We start from the raw sequence: 24,303 nt of genomic DNA, 5'->3' as shown, positions 1-24,303 counted from the left end.
ATTTATTAATGGATTTCATATTATAACCCTACCTGATATCATCTGTCCTTTCAATGAATGCATTTAGTTCATTAGCAACTAATGTAATAATCAAAACACTTGATTCAATTCCTTCCTGGTAATTTTACATTGTAAGTTATTCTACTTTGTTGTGTCAACCTTATCTTCTCATTGATTTCTGTGGTTTGATCAAGTAACAGTTCCTTCCATTCTTTTACTTCTTGCTACTTGGCAAATTCTCTGGCATATCTCTATTCCATTAATGGTTCCTTTCCCTTCTCTAACACAAATAGTTTCCAGACCATGGCAGAACTCTAGAAAGTAGAAATACTTAACATATATCCAAGCTCATTTTTAGGCCAGTAAAGGCTGCTTACTACTATCAAAATACAATTAATCTTCACCATATTCTCATACCAGCAGTAAAAATGGTGATAATTTACCTCATATTCTCTTAAATCTACCTTAATCGACTATATTCTACCTTCTTCTCCTCCATGCTTTAATGTAAAACTTGAGAAAGTTACTTGAATTTGATATATTATAAATTTCCCCCTCTGTGAAATGGCTCTAATAATACCTAATGTACCTTGTGCCAAGCTCAAGAATTAAATGACACCTTGACTACAAAAGCGTGTTAATAAAGACAAAACTGTAAGTATAATAAAACCTGAGTTCCACTTATCCAAAGACATATTCCTCAGAACACTAGTCTCGCAAGATAGTTTGAGGAAAAAAATGGTTTCTGAAAATATGCTTACATATACTCGGAAAATGCTCTGATTCTACCTTTCACTTGGAGATTCCAAATGCATATAAAAATAGTAAAAGCTTTGGGAGGTTTTCAAGTGGAATGAAGAAATTTTGTAATTAGAGCTTGTAACTCTAGGCCCAGACGGACTTCAGTTTGCTTCTTAGTGCTCCTATTTAATGGGTGTAAATTTAGAACAGGTTAATCCCCCTGAGCCTCCATTTGCTCATCTACAAAATGGAAATGAAATAATTTCTCCTTCATAAAATTACTGAGGAAATTCAATGCAGTTATGCATGTGAAGAACTTACAATAGTGCCTGGCACATTGTAAGTGCCTAATAAATGGTAGCAATTATTAATGTTGCCTTATTAATTCTAGTAATATTAAAATTTGCTTAATTTTGTTTTCATACTCTTTTGACCATGGAACATCTTCTCTCCTTGTTATATTAGTAACACACCTCCCCTCAGCGCACCACTGGGAAAGCCCTTTCTTAGGCAACCAAAATAATGTATTTGAGTCCCCTCCATTTCCCACATGTTAGCTACTTGATTTGGCTGATTTCCCCTCATCTGTTATACTTCCCTTAAGTCGGTAGAAGTGATACCCGATCTAGTCTCTGACTGGTTGAGTTCCCAAGAGAAAAACCACGGGACACACCAGCCAGTGCATTTATTCCTGAAAGAAGCCTCTCTAAGCCTGTCTGCTTTTCTATCCTCACAAACTATGCAGAAGCAGATTCACAACTTACAATCCTGGAAATCGAGTACATGTCTAACCCTTTTCTCTGAATTCTAGGAAAGAAAAGCCAAAATATTTTGACTCATATGCCTATTCCCAGTCAATGATTAGTGGCTGTTCAAAGGATCGTGTTGAGAAGGATAGTGAGACCCCAAGCTGAGCCCAGCAAGGAAGAGTACTGTGATCAGTTTAGGTATGCCTGCTAAGAACACAGGAGGGGGGAAGTGGCGGTAAGAGTGCCACATCGCCACATAGCTCTCATACACGATAGCAACAGCACCCATAGCTCTCACGCAGTATGGGAACAGCGCCCATAGCTCTCACGCTCTATAGGAACACCATGCACAGCTCTCATGCGCTATGAGAACAGCATACACACACTATAGGAACACTGCCCGTAGCTCTCTCACACTGTGGGTGCAGTGCCCATCATCCTTTCCCGAGCTCTACTGTGGATCCCCAGGACCAAAAGCCCTAGCAGTGGGAAGGCAGAGAGGAAAGAGGCACTCTTCTTCCCTTCCCTACACCTGTACAAATCCTTCTTCCGGTGTTTAGCCATACTCTCCCTGAAAAAGCTAACGCAGAGGAGGAGGTGTAACAGTTGAGAACAGCCCATCCCTCTGGCCTTTTCCTTTGGCTGCCTACAGACAACATGTATTCCCCAGCTTGAAAATAAGCCTGGGCTCCTTGTATAGGGGCAAAGTCTGATTTATTCCTGAGGCCTGAGCAGGTACCTTGCTCACAGAAAGTACATGGCAGTGGGGCAATGACTAAGGGCTTAAACGCACCAAATGGCCTTGCCTACTAGCACTTAACTCTGGATCTCTACTATTTTTTCCCACATTTATCCTAATAGCAGCTCTTCTGGGAGACTTTCCCATAACCTCCCCAGGAAAAATGGATGAAGCTTTCCTATGGGCAACTCCATTGCTCTCTTGTGAAAAATATATGAGGCTTATACGTTTACATCTCATATCATCTAGGATGGCCCTCTCCACGGCAGGGACTATGTTCTACTTCTGATCCCTCCCGAGCTGAATTTTGAATCTGGCACATGATAGTAGCTCAATAACTGTATATAAAGGCATTAATTTTTTTTTTAAGAAATGAACTAATTTTTCAAAACCAGGAATGAGGAAATGCTCTCTAGTAGGAAAGTTGCCAGTGCTCAATTTGGAAGTCAAAGAATCTTTAGTTACTTGAATTTAGGGGATTCTGCCATTTTATTCAGATTGAAAGTTGAGAAAATAAGCTAAATCAGAAAAGGATACAGAGCTAGAAAAGAGAAACATGACACTTATTGTCCCTAGTCATACTGCTAAAGTATGATATAATTCTCATGACGCTGAGAATTCTGACAGATCTAATAAAGACCTAAAGTAGAAACTGACACATATATCCAGAAAATGTACAATTGGGCATAGAAATTATTAAATTAGCCTATAAACCTGCTAGATTTTTCAAATAGTCTAAAATAATTATAAACCCTTACAGATTTTTGGCTTCATAGCTCCCTTTAAAACAGAATACACAAAAGGCATTTATTAAAATGACACGTGTCATTTATAAAAGACCATGCAGATGGCTTGGGATGGAATGAGGAGATGGGGTGGCAATCAACCAAATGTAACAGAAACTCACTTTAAATGAAAATTCACTTAGAGGAAATTATATGATACATGAGAAATCTATGTCTGCCAAAGTTTTAAAAATTTAGACATCCTGTAAATATCTATCTTATGCTTTTTGTATTCCTGTGAACTCTCTTTTCGAAAGGTTTTCTGCCACTATAGTCATAACATACAATCAATTCAATAACATAGCACTGAATTATTAAATGAGGTTAATGTGTTTGGAGATTCAAAGCATTAACCTCAGTCTTTTTCTCACCCTGAACAACTGCCTTTCAGATGAGATTTATTTTTTCCATGTCTAGTATGGATTTAAAAATCGAAATAATTGAAGCTATTCCATATGAGAAAAATACTTTAGGAACTCTTATAACATTTTTTTGTAAATGCATTCTGAAATATGAAGCCCAACTTGGGTATAGCCTTAAATGTGTATCCTCTATGAACTTCTACAGATTTCTGCAAAATAAGAATGGCCACTGACCAGATCCATCTCCAATCTCCTATCACAAAGGGAGTAGATCAAGAAAGACGGCCCAAAGAGGTTAAGAAATTGTCAAGGTCCATAATTAAAGCCAGAGCCAAAAGAGGCTCCAAATCCCTTAGTCCGAACCTCCTTCTGCAACAGCATACTGACTATGTTCTACCAACCAGACCCCAATAAAATTTTTTAGGCAACCATAAAATAAGGTTTCCTTAGTTGTTATTTACTATTTTTGCTAATAGTAAACAATTACAGGCTAGGTACAGTGGTTCATGCCTATAATCACGGCACTTTGGAAGGCTATTAAGGGCGGATCTCTTGAAGCCAAGAGTTTAATACCTGCCTGGGCAACATAGTGAGACCCTGTCTCTACAAATAAATGAATTACGTGGGCATGGTGATGCTTGCCTATAGTCCTAGTTATCCCAGGAGCTGAGGTGGGAGGGCTGCTTGAGCTGCAGCGTTTGAGGCTGCAGTGAGCTATGATCACACTACTGCACTCCAGTCTGGGTAACAAAATGAGATCTTCCTCAAAAATAAATCAATAAAATAATTACTACACAATATGAACTCCATTCCAGCACAAATTTGGATCTGTTTTGTTTACCGTGGTATTCTTCAGCACCTAGAACATGCCTGGCATATAACAGGCATTCAATTAATTAGGTTGTATTATTTATTGAGAGAGTACTATGTGTTAGACACAGAGCTGAGCACCTCACATAATTATCTCGTTTAATCCCCAAAACACACATATGGACTAAATTGTACCTACCCCCAAATTCACATGTTCAAGCCCTCACCCCCAATGTGGCTATGTTTGGAGATAGGGCCTTTAAGGTGTTTAAGGTTAAATGAGGTCCTAAGACTGGGGCCCTAATGAGGTGGCACTGATGTTCTCATAATAGAAGGAAGAGATACCAATGATATATGCACACAGAGGAAAGGCTATGTGAGGATGTAAGTAAAGGCAGCCATCTGCAACCAAATAGAGAGGCTTCACCCAAAACCAACCATGCTGGTACCTCAATCTTGGACTATCAGGATCCCGAACTGAGAAAAATAACTTCTGTTGTTTAAGCCACCCAGTCTGTGGTATTCTGATGGCAGCCCTACCTGACTAATACACTATCAGAATACTATTTTCATCTCATTTTTCAGATAAAGAAACAGAGATAGAGTAATTTTACTAATGTTACCCCTGCTGGTCTCTAGGTATTTAGAAGGTTGGTGATTAGACAATGGATGTCAAAAGAAAAGAGAAGTAGCTAATTTAGTAGATTTCAATGTGTAATAAATGAAACTCTTTACCGCTAGACTAGCCTTACAAGAGGTCCTCAAGGAAGTTTTAAACATGGAAATGAAAGAGTGATACCTGCTACCACAAAACACACTTAAGTACATGTTCCACAGACCCTATAAAGCAACCACACAAAAGAAACTACAAAGCAATCAGCTAACAACTTCACGATAGAATCAAAACCTCACCTATCAATATTAACCTTGAATGTACATGTTCTAAACATCCCACTTAAAAAAAAAAAAGAAAACAGAGTGGCAAGTTAAAAAATAAGAATCATCCATCTACCCCATTTCTACTAAAAAATACACAGAAACTTCGCCAGGCATGGTGATGGGTGCCTGTAATCCCGGCTACTCAGGAGGCTGAGGCAGGAGAATTGCTTGAACCTCGGGGGGCGGAGGTTGAAGTGAGCTGTGATCGCACCACTGCACTCCAGCCTGGGTGACAAGTGTGAGACCCTGTCTCAAAAAAGTATTCTACGTACCTAGTACTACTCAGAACAGAAGACTGTCTTCCAGATCTGCCTTTTTAATCAGCAACCAAGAAAGAACATAATTATGCACCTAAATCCACAATCCAAAAAGGATCCTAGGTTGGGCGCAGTGGCTCACACCTATAATCCCGCACTTAGGGAGGCCAAGGTGGGCGGATCACTTAAAGTCAGGAGTTCAAGACCAGCCTAGTGAATATGGTGAAACCCCATCTCTACTAAAAATACAAAAATTAGCCAGGCATGGTGGTGGGTGCCTGTAATCCCAGCTACTCGGGAGGCTGAGGCAGGAGAATCTCTTGAACCCGGGAGGCAGAGGTTGAAGTGAGCCGTGATTGTACCACCGCAATCCAGCCTGGGTGACAGTGTGAGACCCTGTCTCAAAAAAGGATTCTACATACCTAGTACTACTCAGAACAGAAGACTGTCTTCCAGGTCTGCCTTTTTAATCAGCAACCAAGAAAGAATGTAATTCTGCACCTGGATTCACAAGCTATCAAAAACAAAACAAATTGTTTAGGGTCAAATGAGGCATTTTGTTCTTTAACAATGTCAAGTACAAAAATCAACTAAAAATGGTTAAAATTTTTCATGATGAAAAACTACAAGTGTTCATGTAGGTCAATTTAACAACGACAGGGGAAAAAAAATACCACAGGACCCACTGCAAGATTTGTGACCAATGGCTTCCTAATAAAACTCTAGTTTTAGGCACTGAACAAAATGGGAAATCCCCATACCATCTTCATCCTGAGTCTGGGACCCTCCTTCCAGTATGAAAAAGAAGCATGAATAAATCTGTGTTTAGGAACGATTTGAAGGAAGTGGACTAACTCAGAAACAAACCCAGAAGGAAAAGAACAGTCAGTTTTACATGTGCACAATTCACTTTCTCCAACAAGTGAATGCTTGATAAATATCAAACAATAATCCAGGACCCAACCCAAGTTATACTACAATGTGACATTTAAACTTGGCTATAATCTGAACCTGAGGGGGAAAAAAGATAAAGGTTTCTTTTCAGGATGTTTTTAGAAGCTTCCTAAGAATAGGGAGCCAGCATTCTCCCCTTTGCACCCCTTAATTGGCCTTATAACTACTACCTAGTACCAAAACAGAGATATAGATCAGTGGAACAGAACAGAGCCCTCAGAAATAACTCCGCATACCTACAACTATCTGATCTTTGACAAACCTGAGAAAAACAAGCAATGGGGAAAGGATTCCCTATTTAATAAATGGTGCTGGGAAAACTGGCTAGCCATATGTAGAAAGCTGAAACTGGATCCCTTCCTTATACCTTATACAAAAATTAATTCAAGATGGATTAAAGACTTAAATGTTAGACCTAAGACCATAAAAACCCTAGAAGAAAACCTAGGCATTACCATTCAGGACATAGGCATGGGCAAGGACTTCATGTCTAAAACACCAAAAGCAATGGCAACAGAAGTCGAAATTGACAAATGGGATCTAATTAAACTAAAGAGCTTCTGCACAGCAAAAGAAACTACTACCATCAGAGTGAACAGGCAACCTACAAAATGGGAGAAAATTTTTGCAACCTACTCATCTGACAAAGGGCTAATATCCAGAATCTACAATGAACTCAAACAAATTTACAAGAAAAAAACAAACAACCCCATCAAAAAGTGGGCAAAGGATATGAACAGACACTTCTTAAAAGAAGACATTTATGCAGCTAAAAGACACATGAAAAAATGCTCATCATCACTGGCCATCAGGGAAATGCAAATCAAAACCACAGTGAGATACCATCTCACACCAGTTAGAATGGCAATCATTAAAAAGTCAGGAAACAACAGGTGCTGGAGAGAATGTGGAGAAATAGGAACACTTTTACACTGTTGATGGGACTGTAAACTAGTTCAACCATTGTGAAAGTCGGTGTGGCGGTTCCTCAGGGATCTAGAACTAGAAATACCATTTGACCCAGCCATCCCATTACTGGGTATATACCCAAAGGACTATAAATCATGCTGCTCTAAAGACTCATGCACACGTATAGTTTATTGCGGCACTATTCACAATAGCAAAGACTTGGAACCAACCCAAATGTCCATCAATGATAGACTGGATTAAGAAAATGTGGCACATATACACCATGGAATACTATGCAGCCATAAAAAAGTGATGAGTTCATGTCCTTTGTAGGGACATGGATGAAATTAGAAATCATCATTCTCAGTAAACTATCGCAAGGACAGAAAACCAAACACTGAATGTTCTCACTCATAGATGGGAATGGAACAATGAGAACACATGGACACAGGAAGGGGAACATCACACTCTGGGGACTGTTGTGGGGTGGGGGGAGGGGGGAGGGATAGCATTAGGAGATATACCTAATGCTAAATGACGAGTTAATGGGTGCAGCACACCAGCATGGCACATGTATACATATGTAACTAACCTGCACATTGTGCACATGTACCCTAAAACTTAAAGTATAATAATAATAAATAAATAAATAAATAAATAAATAAATAAATAAATAAATAAAAAAGAATCACATGCCTGAAAAAGCATACTCAGATCACTGAAGGGTAACAACAGGAATAGAGAAGCCAGTCTTGCATAGTACAGACCTATGAAGTCCGATATTCTGCATTATTGCCTCGCAGAATTTAGGGGAAAGCACTATTGAAGGGTCTCACAATATTATCACAGGTTTAGTATCCTTGCACATGAAAACCAGAGGAGATGGCACAAAATCACCTAGCAAAACAACTCACTAATTGAGCATTCTGATAAGGCCCTCCAGCCACCCTCTTAAAGGAAGGTCCAGCCTCCGTAAGACCTAATGTTATGAGATGGTAAAGCATTTTGGCTGAATGCTGATGGTTACAGGAAATGTAAGATCACTCTTCTAACAGCTAAAGAATTATATGCCAGTTGCCCCTAATAGCGGTGAGATTCTCCACTTTCATTTGAAATAAGGAAATAAATGTCTCTGCAGTTTAATATTATCCCAGATAGCAATATCATTGGCGTCCTTGCTTTAGTCATATTGTGCTCAGACAAGGAAGACATCCATCTTTTCAGTATGCTTTTGTAGCCCATTTGAAGTGTAGAACTGAAGAGCCTCTTAGAGAGAAACCTGAGAGAGAACAAGACTTATGACTGTGATTACGCTATCTTACCAAACTGAAAATGTGCCAAATGGAATCTTCAAATTAGAACTGAGGCCTCAACTGTAAACAGATTGCAATCTGTACCTCCTAGAAGACTAACATGATATTGTTATCATTGTAGAGGTATATTGTTCTGAATTAATATTAGCTTGTTTTCCCCCAATGTAATTTAAATGAACCTAATTCACTGAAATGAACTTACAACAGGGACTTTTAGTAAGTTTCATTAATAATATTGATAAAGAAAACATTAAAATACTATATCAGTCCTCCCTGACTCTCTTCTTTGGCCTAGCTATCTAGTGAGAAACCAGGGAGGTTTTGTGTTAGCATCAGTGGTGGAGTGAACTAAGAACGTACACTCGGCCAGGCACGGTGGCTTACTCCTGTAATCCTAGCAGTTTGGGAGGCCAAGGCAGGCAGATCACAAGGTCAGGAGATCAACACCATCCTGGCCAACATGGTGAAACCCTGTCTCTACTAAAATACAAAAAAAAAAAAAAAAAAATTAGCGGGGTGTGGTGGTGTGTGCCTGCAGTCCCAGCTACTCAGGAGGCTGAGGCAGGGGAATCGCTTTGAACCCAGGAGGGGGAGTTTGCAGTGAGCTGAAATGGTGCCACTGCACTGCCCTCCAGCCTGGCAACAGACTGGAATGCAGTGACTCCGTCTCAAAAAAAAAAAAAAAAAAAAAAATAGACTCAAGAATTAGAAGGTGTAGGTTCAAAAATCTATGTTCTACGCTATCTAACATGATAGCCACATGTGGCTATGGAACACATGAAATGTGACAGATATCTCAGGATCTAATTTTTAAATATTTCATTTTAATTAATTCTAATTTATATAGCCTCACATAGCTAGTGGCTACCACACTGGACAGCACAGCACTATACCTGTCACTTACTAGTTGTGTGTCTTTGGATATGTAAGTTAACTTTTCTGTGCCTCAGTTTACTCATCTTATAGACAGGGATAAAAATACTCCCTCGTAGAGTCATTGAGGAAATAAGGGAGACTATGCAAAGCCGTCCACACAGTGCCCAGGATGTGGGCTATTCTTCTGCGACATCTTTTCACCCATCCCTCCTCTACATTACCACTGTCTTCACCTTTGTCTGGCTCCTACCGTGCTCACATTATCAAAAGACCTTCTTAACCTGTCTCACTCCCTCTAACAAGTCCCAACTTCAGTCCTCCCGGTAAAATATAACCAATAAGTGTTTCTAAAATACAATTCTCAGCATATTATCCCTCTGTTCAAAATCTTATAGCTATGGTCTGACGCAGTGGCTCATGCCTGTAACTCCAGCACTTTGGGAGGCCAAGGCAGGCGGACTGCTTGAGCCCAGTAGTTAGAGATGAGCCTGAGTGACATGGTGAAACCTCATCTCTTAAAAAAAAAAAAAAAGAAAGAAAGAAAGAAATTATCTGGGCATAGTGGTATGTACCTCTAGTCCCAGCTACTCAAGAGACTGAGGCAGGAGGATCACCTGGGCCCAGGTAGGTCAAGGCTGCAGTGAGCCATGATTGTGCCACTGCACTCTACCCTGCACAACGGAGACCCTGTCAGCAAAAAAAAAAAAAAAAAAAAACTTATATAGTATGACCTTCCACAGAACATAGAGTTTTGGCTTTTGAGGCCCTTTTTATAATCTATCCCAAGCTCATGTTTCATGTAATCTCCCACTGCACTCCAGAAACAACCCACAGTGCCAAGAGACGGGACAACTTGCCCTTCCTCAGACCACCATGCATATTTTTACTCCATTTTCACTGGTTGACAACATGCCCATACACAAAGCTCAGATCCTTTTCCCTACTTTGTCATACTTATCCACTGAGGCCTCTCCCAAGACATCTCACTTCAGAAGCCATCCCCTTTGAGTTGCTCATGGAAAGGACAAGACATTTAACAATCACAGAGCCTCTACCAGCACTTCACTGTTTGTGCGTGCATTTCTTGGTTGCCCTCCAAGAATAAAACCTTCTTGAAAATGCAAGGTTATGCTTTTGTGTCTCCCCAGTGGTGCCTAGCTTGGTACACAGCAAGTAGGCGCTCATGACATGTGTGATAAAGAAATACCCTTAAACATGAACACAGACGCTGTTCAAATTGAAAACTAGGATCTTTGGAAATCTCTGCTATTCACACCACTAAAGGCATTTGAAATTCCTCCCTCAAAATAACTGTCTTTCCATAAACACATGGAAAGAAAATCTGGGCAAGTAGGGATTACTAAACCAATGTATGCTTTAAATAAAGCCTCAATAATTCCTTGTTCTCCTTCTGAGTCCTACTAGAGAAATTCTCCTTAGGATGATACAATCTTGTTCTTCAATTCCTTACAGCATGTGCTGTTTATAGGCTAAAGGACATCTACAACCCTCCATAAACTCCTCCCTCCCTTTCCCTCTTAATTTTCCCCACACCTCACTTCTCTCCCCTTGACTACACCTCACTTCTCTCCCCTTGACTTCCCATCACCCTCAATTACCCCAACTTTGAAGAATATTTTTAAACAAGGCCCCAGCCATCTTTTCTCCCACCCTTCAAACCCTCCAGAAAAACCCACCTCAAAATACTTCCTCCCTGTCCAGTAAGATGACCCATTTGCACTTCTGTTTGCAACAGATATTCAAGGAAAGAGAAAAGTGAAAGCAATCAGAAAATGTCTTGAAAATCCACTTAGGTCAGAACCTTAGCAGTGGCTTCTGGCACAGAAGACAGATCTCTGATCTCAAGGAGAGTTCTCTACAAAATATAATGCCAAATTGTTTCTTGTAATTTATACTCCCTTTTCAGACATTCTTTACTCTGTAGTTCTTAAACTTTAGAGCACATTAGAATCATCAAGAGTGTTTGATGGATGCTGATTCCTAGGGATTGCCACCAGGGAATCTAAGTCAGTGTGCCGGGAGCTACCCAGAAATCTGCATTCTAGTGGGGACTCAGCTCATTCTCTCACAAGGTCAAGACCACACTGACAAACACTGCAACAGCCTCACCTTCCTCTCTGTGCTGGTTCTCTGTTCCCCTTCTGTACACCAAGATAACAAGAATAACTAACTGCAGCCAAAAGGCCTAGATCTTCTGGAAAAACACAATCTTCCCAGCGAGAGTAATTAGGTGAAGGAGCTAAGGCAGAACAAGGTAATCAGGCACGCAAGGTAAAGACAAAAAGGCTCACAGTAACCAGAGGTCAAAGCAAATGGCAAATCAGGAATCTCAACAGAAGAGCTAGGAAGTTCAGTACAAGCGAAAGGAAAGAAAAAAAAATTGTAACATCTCAACATATGTAGAGCATCACATTTAATTGCAAACTGCCAACTCTTAAAGGGAAACTCAACACATTTAAACATGAAGTATCTAAGCTGAACCAGATCAATTAACACGGTCTTAGACTCATCAAATCAGATCATTTCCTGAGATCAAAGAGAAGAAAGAATAAAGGGTAATTTCAGAGCACTAGGCAGGCCCAGTCTGGGTCCTGACATAGGAAGCAGGAGGACAGAACATTTGTAGGAAATTAGAGGTATTAGTAGGTAAGAGAGATGATCCTAATAATAATAGCTGGGGTGGACACACATTCTGAGACAGACTTTGGATGATCACTATTCCTATCCCTTGTCCCTGCATGATCAATGACTGATATCACTTACTTTCCTCCCCAAGAGTTCTCTTTTAACAGTAAATGATATAATCACTCCAATATGGCTAACAGCCGCATGCTAGACATTGAGCTAAGAGCTTTACCTACATCATTTCAACCCTAAACATTATAAAGGACCAATGTTAATACTGTTATTATGCCCGTCATTAGGCTGAAGAATGTTGGAGCCGGTGGAAGTTAAATTACTTGCCTAACACCAAGTCAGCAGGTGACAAGACTTGAACTCAGGTCTGCCCAGGCAGTTCTTTTAACATAAGGACAGGTAAACTGCAGCCCACAGACCAAATTCAGGCCACCAGCTAATTTTGGAAACAGAGTTTACACGTTTAAAAGAGGAAATAGTGGAAGACAGCCGCCCTGTTCATTTGCATATTGTCTGTGGCTGTTTTCACACCACACGTGCAGAGTCGAGTAGCTGCAACAGGGACATTCTGGGATGCAAAGTGGAAAATATTTACTATCTGGCTCTTTACTGGAAAGGTTTGCTGATCTGGGCTTTTCCTGTCAGCCTCAAGAGAGCACCCAAAACACAAATTCACAAAATTAGCCCTTCCACCAGGGATCATCCAAGATCAAGGAAAACATGAAGACAAAATAGTAGAATAATTTCCCCAGTTTGGACATTTCAGATTTTGATTTTTTTTTAACCTTAAGGTTTATAACATGTTGAGTTGTCAATAGTTACAATAAACCATTATTTCTTAGGTTAAAAAAAAAAAAAAGAGGCCAGGCAGAGTGGCTCACACCTTTAATCCCAGCACTTTGGGAGGCCAAGGCAGGTGGATCACTTGGAGTCAGGAGTTTGAGACCAGCCTGACCAACATGGTGAAACCCCATCTCTACTAAAAACACAAAAAATTAGCTGGGCGTGGTGGTGGGTGCCTGTAATCCCAGCTACTCAGGAGGCTGAGGCAGGAGAATTGCTTGAACCTGGGAGGTGGAGGTTGCAGTGAGCTGAGATCGAGCCACTGCACTCCAGCCTGGGCAACAGAACCACACTCCATCTCAAAAAAAAAAAAAAAAAAAAAGCATTAAAAAAAAAAGTACCAAAAACCAGGGCAGGAAATATGTAAGATAAGCCTGGAGTGTCTTGCTCTGTCAGAAAGTTAAAAAAAAAACAAGTATTCCAAAAATCCCACAAGGATAGGATACATCAAAGGGACACAAAAACCAACTGAAAGAGCTCCCAATGGCCAAAGCTGGAACAATCTGAACAGCAAAATAAAGCAGCATTCAATTATAACCCAAAGTTAAAATAAATATCCATGAGTCCATAGCAATATAAATGAATGATTAATTGAATAAATAAATGGGGAGAAAACTCTTGTGCAGAAGAATTTCAAGTAATTTATGCAGATATTCCACCCTAAAGGAGAAGGAGGAAAGTCTGATCCTTAAGTCTGGGCCAAACATAGCGACTTCCTCCCAAAGAGTAAAGCATGAAAGGGTGGAGGGAGGGGGAAGTAATTTTACAGTGGAGAAACCGGACCGACACTGCCTCAACCAGGTGATCAAGATTCATCAGTGATGAGTCATGTTGATAGTACATACCTTTAATATGATGTGGTGGGAATAGCGTTTTACCTCTGTGTCCTTGCTCTCCAAAACCCATAACCCTGGTCTAACCATGAGAAAACATCAACCTAATTCCAGTCAAGGAGCACCCTACAAAATACCTAACCAGCTTTCCTCAGTGCTCTCAAGTCATCAAAAACAAGGAAGGAAACTGAGAAAAGGCCACAGCCAAGAGGAGCCTGAAGACACATAATGACTGCATGTAATGTGGTATCCTAGATGTGATCCTTATGCAGAAAAAGGACATTAGGAAAAAACTAAGGAAATGGGAATACAGGAAGAACTCTAGTTAGTAATACTTAGCAACATTTGTTCATCAACTGTGAGAAACGTACAATACTAACATAAGAGGTTAAAACCGGGGAAACGGGCGTAGAGTACAGGGGAACGCTCTGTACTGCCTTCGCAATTTTTCTGATATCTGAAATGATTCTAAAATTAAGTTTACTTTTTTAAAAGAGGACAAAAAATAGCATCTGCTTTCCACATTTAAACTCACAGGAGGATCTATCTTGGAAGAGATTTCCTTTCGTCGTGCAGTTTACATACTATAATTCTAATTTTGTCTGGAAGGTGCAAAACACGGATTTTAAAATTATCCCCATGTAAATAATTCAGCCTGTGATTAGTGCCAAAACAGAATAAATTAAACCTGGTATAGATTACCAAGTTACTGTGAGCAAAATTCTGTATTTAAAAAAACACTTGGGATAAAGAAAATGCTGCTTAGTGAAATCCTGGAAGATATAATTCAAGCATCAACAGCATACACAACCCTATCTACTTAGCCAGGCTTGGTAATACAAATAGTGCTGGTGTCACCCATTGTTCTTTGAAAATTGATCCTCCTGCATAGGAGGAAAAAAATTTGCAGGGAAGAGTATACTCAGCTTCAAAGCTACATACCATAATAACATTTTCCTCACCACAAACAGGTCTACAGATTCCTCTAGGCACTGCTGGCAAGGGGCATATGGCATGCTACCCTAGGAAAATATGCAGCCCAGCTCCTATCTCTCCAGCCACACTGAATTTTCCTCTATTGCACGAAGACACTAAATTCTTATAACATACTTTTCTCACCTCATCACTTAATGAAATTATAACAAAATGTCTGACTATAATTGTTAATTGAAAGTCCATCTCCTATATATTAAGTGGAAAGCCTTGTGAGGACCACGTCTATTTTGTTGACCGCTATATTTCTAGAATTCCATGTACCTAAGTCCTGGCATATAGTAGACGCTCGATAAATACTTTTTGAATGAATGAAAGCATTTATCAATCATAGGCTATTGGAGTTTAGCTCAAGTCTACAGATAACCCCAAACAATTTCAAATTTATGGATTTCCTCCAGCAGTTCACTGAATGCATAAATCTGCTGTGAGTATCATCAAAATCTTGCCTTTGGCTCATTTGCTTTATTTGTGCAAAGTCAGGTTTATAGGTTCAAACAACTCAGTAATAGAAGACAGAATGATTAGCATTATCTTCGTGTTCAAAGTGTCAGAAAAAAACAGCAAAGAGTTACATGTAAGCTTCCAACTGCATTATCAATTTCTATGAAGAAACTTATTTTCTAGAGGCTAATTTCTCCTGGGCAGATTTTTTTAGGCTATGTTATTGCAAGTCTATGCTAATTCGCATAGCTACTTAAACTATGATCTTATGTTTTGAATAACTGCCTCCCAAATAACACTGCATCCAAATCAGAAAAGTCATAGTTTATACAAAACTTGGGGCTGGGCACAGTGGCTCACGCCTGTAATCCCAGCACTTTGGGAGGCTGAGGTGGGTGGATCGGAGGTTGGGAGTTCAAGACCAGCCTGGCCAACATGGTGAAACCCCGTCTCTTCTAAAAATACAAAAGTTAGCTGAGCATGGTGATGTACTCCTGTAATTCCAGCTACTCGGGAAGCAGAGGCATGATCATTGCTTGAACCGGGACCCAAGAGATGGAGGTTTCAGTGAGCCGAGATCGTGCCACTGCACTCCAGCCTGGGCTACAGAGTGAGAATCCATCCAGAAAAAAAAAAAAATAGAAAGAAAACTTGGAATCAGTATGCTGTCATGTAAAGAGTAAACAACAAGGCTCAGAAGACCCAATTCTAGTCATGGCTTAACTCATAACCGTTTGTCAGAAAACTTTTACAAAATACCTTTAACAGATGCTATCCTAGGAGGCATGCAGTTCAATTACTTAAGCAGTCTAAACCACGTCTCCAAATTTATATAAAAACATTAGATCAAATGTAGAATAAACATTTTCAACCACCATCCTGGCTACTCAAAATCCCATAAAACAACATAAAAGTTACTGGAAAACAATATAAATCTGTAGCATTGCTCTGTTGTTTAAGTATTGCTAGATAAAAAATCTGCATTCTAAACTTTCAGTGAGCCAGAAACTTTAAGGCTCCCTAAATATAGAAAGCATATAAGATAAGTTTAGGGAGATCAAAACCCAGAGAAAAGCCATAGACAATGATACGATGTGCAAGACAGGTGACAAGGACATACGTGTGGTTCAGAAGAAGTATAAACCCAGAGGTAATTGATACAAAGAGGTGTTTACAAAAGACAGGTAAGTGAGAAAGGAATCAAGGTGGTAAATAGATACTCTCATATTTTACTGTGGATATTGAGGTATTTCTTAAATATATTATTTTTGCAGTGAAGAGTCATTTTTGCAGTGAAGAGTCATTTTTGCATGTAAATAACACTGAAATAAACATGTTAATAGAACTGAAGGATGATGCATCCCAGATCTACTTTTTTCTTCTGGTAAAGGTAGAATCACAAGAAAAGTAGGAGCACATTTTCTAGCATCTAGGTCTACTTTAGGAGCGCAGCTTGCTGTTTCTTCAGCCCAACATCGAGAAGAGAGGCAGCAGATGAACTGACGGTATCCAGGAAGGTTGTAAAACACCACATTTCATAAAGATAACAGACCCTCAGTTCCCCAGATTCAACACATACCTCTGTTGTTCCTTCTTTACAATTAAACATCCTCTTTACAATCTGGACAGAATAATATGCAGACGTGCTTATTTACTCATAGTTTAATTAATGTCAATAGAGATCAGGAGAGTTTTTCAAGGAGAGACCTGGTATAAAGCAAAGCATGAAAACATTTATTGGTCCTCTACCCTCCACACCCCCATTTCAGAGCACTCTTCCCAAAGGCTAGCTACATTAGGCTCAGACAAGCCTCATTTCAATTAACCTCTTTCTCTGATTTTAGGTCATCCTACTCTGTGGCTCCCAGATAGCACCACAGAGGGACATCAGAAAAAGAAAAGCAGTATATGATTAGAAAAGTAAAAACTACAGAAAAGACAGGTGGCAGAGTTAGCACCCCAATGCATGGATTTATCCATTGAATATCAAAAGGTCACTTTTCCTAAGCTAGGATCACCAGAGCATTCTAAAACTCTCATCTACTACTGAAGCATTTCAAGTTCATACACTGATATAGGCTGGAAGAAGATTGAGCATAAACTGTCTTTGAGATGTCTTCAGCTTCCTGTTAAAGGGTAAGAACATCATGAGTTAAGGTTGGGATGATCGGTACCTTGCCCCTTTTGCCTTCATATCATGCGTGTAGCTATATTTCAACAATATTCCTGAGCTCATGGGAAATCAAAAATAAAAGGCAGGATTATAAATATAAAACATGTCTCTATGTTATAGTGATAGACCAGGGAGACAGATGGGGAATGAGGTCAAGCAAGGAGATGGTGTCTGAGAGACAGGACAGCAAAAGTGGAAAATTCAGGGAAAAGTAATTTCCAGCCCTGAAAAGAGCAGAGAAACAGACAAGTCTATTTCATCCTCACTAGCTCGCAACACGTTAGGGGCTGCAAAGCTCCAAAAGAAACCTTACCTTGATAAAGCTGCACACTCAAATCAGTGCAGCTAATATGGGGAAGAAGTTTTTGACTCATGCCTCCAGACTGAGATATTCCCTATTCCATTGAGACTTAGGAACTGATTTTACCCTGCATTAAATTGACCATGCAAGCCTGCTGCTTCACAAAAAGATATTCCTATGTGGTCACATTCTAAAAAAAAAAAAAAAAATTCCAAGCCCAAGGATTATGTTTTCCTACATAGCACCTACCAAAGGCCTTGGCTCACCATGTGTGGGTGTGTACGCATACACACACCAGTGTGTATGTATATGCAAAAGAATAATGATTGGTGACTTCACGTTTTATTCCTCGCTCTAAGTCCATCCCTTCTAGGCAAAGGTAAGAGAAAGAGAAAAAATACTAAATAACAGCCTTCTGAGATTACCCTGTACCCTGCTAACCTCCTCAAGACATCAGAAGAAGGAGCTTACATCTTTTCTCCCTCTGTGTTTTCTTAATAGCAACAATGCCAATAAGTAGAACAGAAAGACACAGACAGCAGTGTGATTTATTACCTGTACTGACTTGAGCGGAGTCAGCAGACTGAGGAAGAAGTCAGTGGTATCTAAAGGTTTAAAACTATGACCTCGGGTGGCTGGCAAGATGGCCAAATAGGAAGTACTGCGGTCTGCAGCTCCCAGTGAGATCAATGCAGAAGGCGGGTGATTTCTGCATTTCCAACTGAGGTACCTAGCTCATCTCATTGGGACTGGTTAAAAACTAGGTACAGCCCATGGAGGGCAAGCCGAAGCAGGGTGGGGTGTCATCTCACCTTGGAAGCACAAGGGGCTGGGGAACTCCCTCCGATAGCCAAGGGAAGCCATGAGGGACTCTGCTTTTCCCACATTCTGTGCAACTCCCAGGCCAGGAAATTCTGTCAAGTGTCTACACCACCAGGGCCCTGGGTTTTAAGCACAAAACTGGGCGGCCATTTGGGCAGACACTGAGCTAGCTGCAGGAGTTTTTTTCATACCCCAGTAGCACCTGGAATGCCAGTGAAACAGAACTGTTCACTCCCCTGGAAAGAGGACTGAAGCCAGGGAGCCAAGTGGTCTTGCTCAGCAGATCTCACCCCCATGGAGCCCAGCAAGCTAAGATCCACTGGCTTGAGATTCTCGCTGCCAGCACAGCAGTCTGAAGTCAACCTAGGATGCTTGAGCTCGGTGGGGGGTGGGGCGTCCCCCATTACTGAGGTTTGAATAGGTGGTTTTCCCCTCACAGTGTAAACAAAGCCACTGGGAATTTCGAATGGGGTGGAGCTCACCGCAGCTCAGCAAAACTGCTGTAGCCAGACTGCCTCTCTAGATTCCTCCTCTCTGGGCAGGACATCTCTGAAAGAAAGGCAGCAGCCCCAGTCAGGGGCTTATAGATAAAACTCCCATCTCCCTGGGACACAGCACCTGGGCAGCTGTGGGCACAGCTTCAGCAGACTTAAATGTTCCTGCCTGCCAGCTCTGAAGAGAGCAGTGGGTCTCCCGACACAGTGCTCTAGCTCAGCTAAGTGACAGACTGCCTCCTCAGGTGCGTTCCTGACCCCCATGCCTCCTGACTCGAAGACACCTCCCAACAGGGGCTGACAGACACCTCATACAGGAGAGCTCCAGCTGGCATCTAGCCAGGCCCCTCTGGGACGAAGCTTCCAGAGGAAGGAACAGGCAGCAACCTCTTCTGTTCTGCAGCCTCCGCTGGAGATACCCAGGCAAACAGCGTCTGGAGGGGACCTCCAGAGAACTCCAGGAGACCTGCAGCAGAGGGGCATGTTAGAAGGAAAACTAACAGAAAGGAATAGGATCAACGTGAACAAAAAGGATGTCCACACAAAAACCCCATCCAAAGGTCACCAACATCAAAGAGCAAAGATAGACAAATCCACAAAGATGGGGAGAAACCAGTGCAAAAAGCCTGAAAATTCCAAAAGCCAGAATGCCTCGTCCTCCAAAGGATCACAACTCCTCACCAGCAAGGGAACAAAACTGGACAGAGAATGAGTTTCACAAATGGACAGAAGTAGGCTTCAGAAAGTGGGTAATAACAAACTCCTCCGAGCTAAAGGAGCATGTTCTAACCCAAGGCAAGGAAGCTAAGAATCTTGAAAAAAGGTTAGCGGAATTGCCAACTAGAATAATCAGTTAAGAGAAGAACACAAATGACCTGAGGGGGGTGAAAAACACAGCACGAGAACTTTGTGAAGCATACACAAGTATCAATAGCAGAATCAATCAAGCAGAAGAAAGGATGTCAGTGACTGAAGATCAACTTAATGAAATAAAGCATGAAGACAAGATTAGAGAAAAAAGAATGGAAAGGAATGAACAAAGCCTCCAAGAAATATGAGACTAGGAAAAGACCAAACCTACATTTGATTGGTGTACCTGAAAGTGACGGGGAGAATGGAACCAAGTTGGAAAACACTCTTCGGGATATTATCCAGGAAAACTTCCCCAGCCTAGCAAGACAGGCCAACATTGAAATTCAGGAAATATACAGAACACCAAAAGATACTCCTGGAGAAGAGCAACCCCAAGACACATAATTGTCAGATTCACCAAGGTTTTAGAAGGAAAAAATGTTAGGGCAGCCAGAGAGAGAAAAAAATCAGGTTACCCACAAAGGGGAGCACAACAGACTAACAGCAGATCTCTCTGCAGAAACCCTACAAGCCAGAAGAGAGTGGGGGCCAATATTCAAAATTCTTAAAGAATTTTCAACCTAGAATTTCATACCCAACCAAACTAAGCTTCATAAGTGAAGGAGAAATAAAATCCTTTACAGACAAGCAAATGCTAAGAGATTTTGTCACCACCAGGCCTGCCCTACAAAAGCTCCTGAAGGAAGCACTAAACATGGAAAGGAACAACTGGTACCAGCCACTGCAAAAACATACCAAATTGAAAACACCATCAACACTATGAAGAAACTGCATCAACTAACGGACAAAATAACCAGCTAGCATCATAATGACAGGATCGAATTCACACATAACAATAATAACCTTAAATGTAAATGGGCTAAATGCCCCATTTAAAAGACACGGACTGGCAAATTAGAAAAGAGTCAAACCCATTGGTGGGCTGTATTCAGGAGACCCAACTCACGTGCAAAGACACATATAGGCTCAAAATAAAGGGATAGAGGAGTATTTACAACAAAATGGAAAGCAAAAAAAAAAGGAGAGGTTACAATCCTAGTCCATGATAAAACAGACTTTAAACCAACAAAGTTCAAAAGAGACAAAGAAGGGCATTACTTAATGGTAAAGGGATCAGTGCAACAAGAGCTAACTATGCTAAATGTATATGCACCCAATACAGGAGCACAGATTCATAAAGCAAATTCTTAGAAACTTATGAAGAGACTTAGACTCCCACACAATAATAGTGGGAGATTTTAACACCCCAACTACCTGGAAACTGAATAACCTGCTCCTGAATGACTACTGGGTAACGTAATTAAGGCAGAAATAAAGAAGTTCTTTGAAACCAATGAGAACAAAGACACGATGTACCAGAATCTCTGGGACACAGCTAAAGCAATGTTTACAGGGAAATTTATAGCACTAAGTACCCACAAGAGAAAGCAGGAAAGATCTAAAATCGACACCCTAACATCAAAACTAAAAGAACTACAGAAGCAAGAGCAAACACATTCAAAAACTAGCAGAAGACAAGAAATAACTAAGACAAGAGCAGAACTGAAGGAGACAGAGACATGAAAAACCCTTCAAAAAAAAAATCAATGAATCCAGGAGCTGTTTTTAAAAGATTAACAAAATAGATAGATGACTAGCCAGACTAATAAAGAAGGAGAGAGAGAAGAATCAAACAGATGTGATAAAAAATGATAAAGAGGATATCACCACTGATCACACAGAAATACAAACTACTATCAGAGAATACTATAAACCCCTCTATGCAAATAAAATAGAAAATCTAGAAGAAATGGATACATTCCTGGACACATACACTCACCCAAGACTAAACCAGGAAGAAGCTGAATCCCTGAATAGACCAATAACAAGTTCTGAAATTGTGGCAGTAAATTAATAGCCTACCAACCAAAAAACATCCAGTACCAGACGAATTCACAGCCAAATTCTACCAGAGATATAAAGATGAGCTGGTAGCAGTCCTTCTGAAACTATTCAAAACAATAGAAAAAGAGGGAATCCTCCCTAACTCATTTTATGAGGCCAGCATCCTCCTGATAGCAAAACATGGCAGATATACAATAAAAAAAGAAAATTTTAGACCAATATCCCTGATGAATATCGATGCAAAAATCCTCAATAAAATACTGGTAAACCAAATCCACCAGCACATCAAAAAGTTATCCACCATGACCAAGTCGGCTTCATCCCTGGGATGCAAGTCTGGCTCAACATACACAAATCAATAAATGTAATCCATCACATAAACAGAACCAATGACAAAAACCACATGATAAGCTCAACAGATGCAGACAAGGCCTTTGACCAAATTCAACACCCCTTCATGCTAAAAACTCTCAATAAACTAGGTATTGATTGAATGTATCTCAAAATAATAAGAGCTATTTATGACAAATCCACAGCCAATATCATACTGAATGGGCAAAAACTGGAAGCATTCCCTTTGGAAAACCAGCACAAGACAAGGGTGCCCTCTCTCACCACTCCTATTCAGCAGAGTATTGGAAGTTCTGGCCAGGACAATCAGGCAAGAGAAAGAAATAAAGCGTATTCAAATAGAAAGAGAGGAACTCAAATTGTTTCTGTTTTCAGATGACATGATTGTATGTTTAGAAAACCCCATCGTCTCAGCCCAAAATCTCCTTAAGCTGATAAGCAACGTCAGCAAAGTCTCAGGATAGACAATGTGCAAAAATCACAAGCATTTCAGAGAGCCAAATCATGGTGAATTCCCATTCAGAATTACTAAAAAGAGAATAAAATACCTAGGAATCCAACTTACAAGGGATGTGAAGAACCTCTTCAAGAACTACAAACCACTGCTCAACGAAATAAGAGGACACAAAAACAAATGGAAGAACACTCCATGCTCATGGATAGGAAGAATCAATATTGTGAAAATGGCCATACTGCCCAAGGTAATTTATAGATTCAATGCTATCCCCATCAAGCTACCATTGACTTTCTTCACAGAATTTGAAAAAACTGCCTTAAATTTCATATGGAACCAAAAAAGAGCCTGCATAGCCAAGACAATCCTAAGCAAAAAGAACAAAGCTGGAGGCATCATGCTACCTGACTTCAAACTATACTGCAAGGCTACAGTAACCAAAACAGCATGGTACTGGTACCAAAACAGACATATAGACCAATGGAACAGAACAGAGCCTTCAGAAATAGCACCACATATCTACAACCAACTGATCTTTGACAAACCTGACAAAAACAAGCAATGGGGAAAGGATTCCTTATTTAATTAATGGTGTTGGGAAAACTGGCTAGCCATATGTGGAAAACTGAAACTGGACCCCTTCCTTACACCTTATATAAAAATTAACTCAAGATGGGTTAAAGACTTAAACATAACACCTAAAACCATAAAAACCCTAGAAAAAAACCTTGGCAATAACTTTCAGGACATAGGCATGAGCAAAGACTTCATGACTAAAACACCAAAAGCAACAAAAGCCAAAATTGACAATAGGGCCAAGTTAGACTAAAAAGCTTCTGCAAAGCAAAAGAAACTATCATCAGAGTGAGCAGGCAACCTGCAGAATAGGAGAAAATTTTTGCAATCTACCCATCTGACAAAGGGCTAATATCCAGAATCTACAAGGAACTTAAATTCACAAGAAAAAAAAACAACCCCATCAAAAAGTGGGAGAAGAAAATGAACAGACACTTCTCAAAAGAAGACATTTATGTGGCCAAGAAACATGAACAAGCACTCATCATCACTGGTCATTAGAGAAATGCAAATCAAAACCACAATGCGATACCGTCTCATGCCAGTTAGAATGGCGATCAATAGAAAGTCAGGAAACAGATCCTGGAGAGGATGTGGAGAAATAGGAATGCTTTCATACTTTTTTTGTGGGAGTGCAAATTAGTTCAACCATTGTGGAAGACAGTGTGGTGATTCCTCAAGGATCTAGAACCAGAAATACCATGTGACCCAGCAATCCCATTACTGGATACATACGCAAAGGATTATAAATCATTTATAAATTATATACATGCACACATATGTACATTGCAGCACTGTTTACAATAGCAAAGACTTGGAATCAACCCAAATGCTCATAATGACAGATTGGATAAAGAAAATGTGGCACATATACACCATGGAATACTCTGCAGCCATAAAAAAAGGATGAGTTCATGTCCTTTGCAGGGACATGGATGAAGCTGGAAACCATTATTCTCAGCAAACTAACGCGGGAACAGAAAACCAAACACCACCTGTTCTCACTGATAAGTGGGAGCTGAACAATGAGAACACATGGACACGGGAAGAGAACATCACATACCGGGGCCTGTTGGGGGATGGAGAACTAGGGGAAGGATAACACTAGCAGAAATCCCTAATGTGGATGACGGGTTGATGGGTGCAGCAAACCAGCATGGCATGTGTATA

The 24,303-nt window shown here is 40.4% G+C and overlaps 1 pseudogene; it reads right to left on the bottom strand.

Annotated features, from left to right (window-relative positions):
- Window positions 1-16,640: 16,640 nt before the first annotated feature.
- The window catches only part of LOC124906205 (UPF0764 protein C16orf89-like), a 79,830-nt pseudogene continuing 72,167 nt past the window's right edge, over window positions 16,641-24,303 (bottom strand).

The sequence above is a fragment of the Homo sapiens genome, chromosome 3 (genome assembly GCF_000001405.40).
Source record: "Homo sapiens chromosome 3, GRCh38.p14 Primary Assembly".
Classification (NCBI taxonomy): domain Eukaryota; kingdom Metazoa; phylum Chordata; class Mammalia; order Primates; family Hominidae; genus Homo; species Homo sapiens.
Note: the sequence above shows the minus strand (reverse complement) of the source record. Positions and strands in the feature narration are given on the sequence as shown.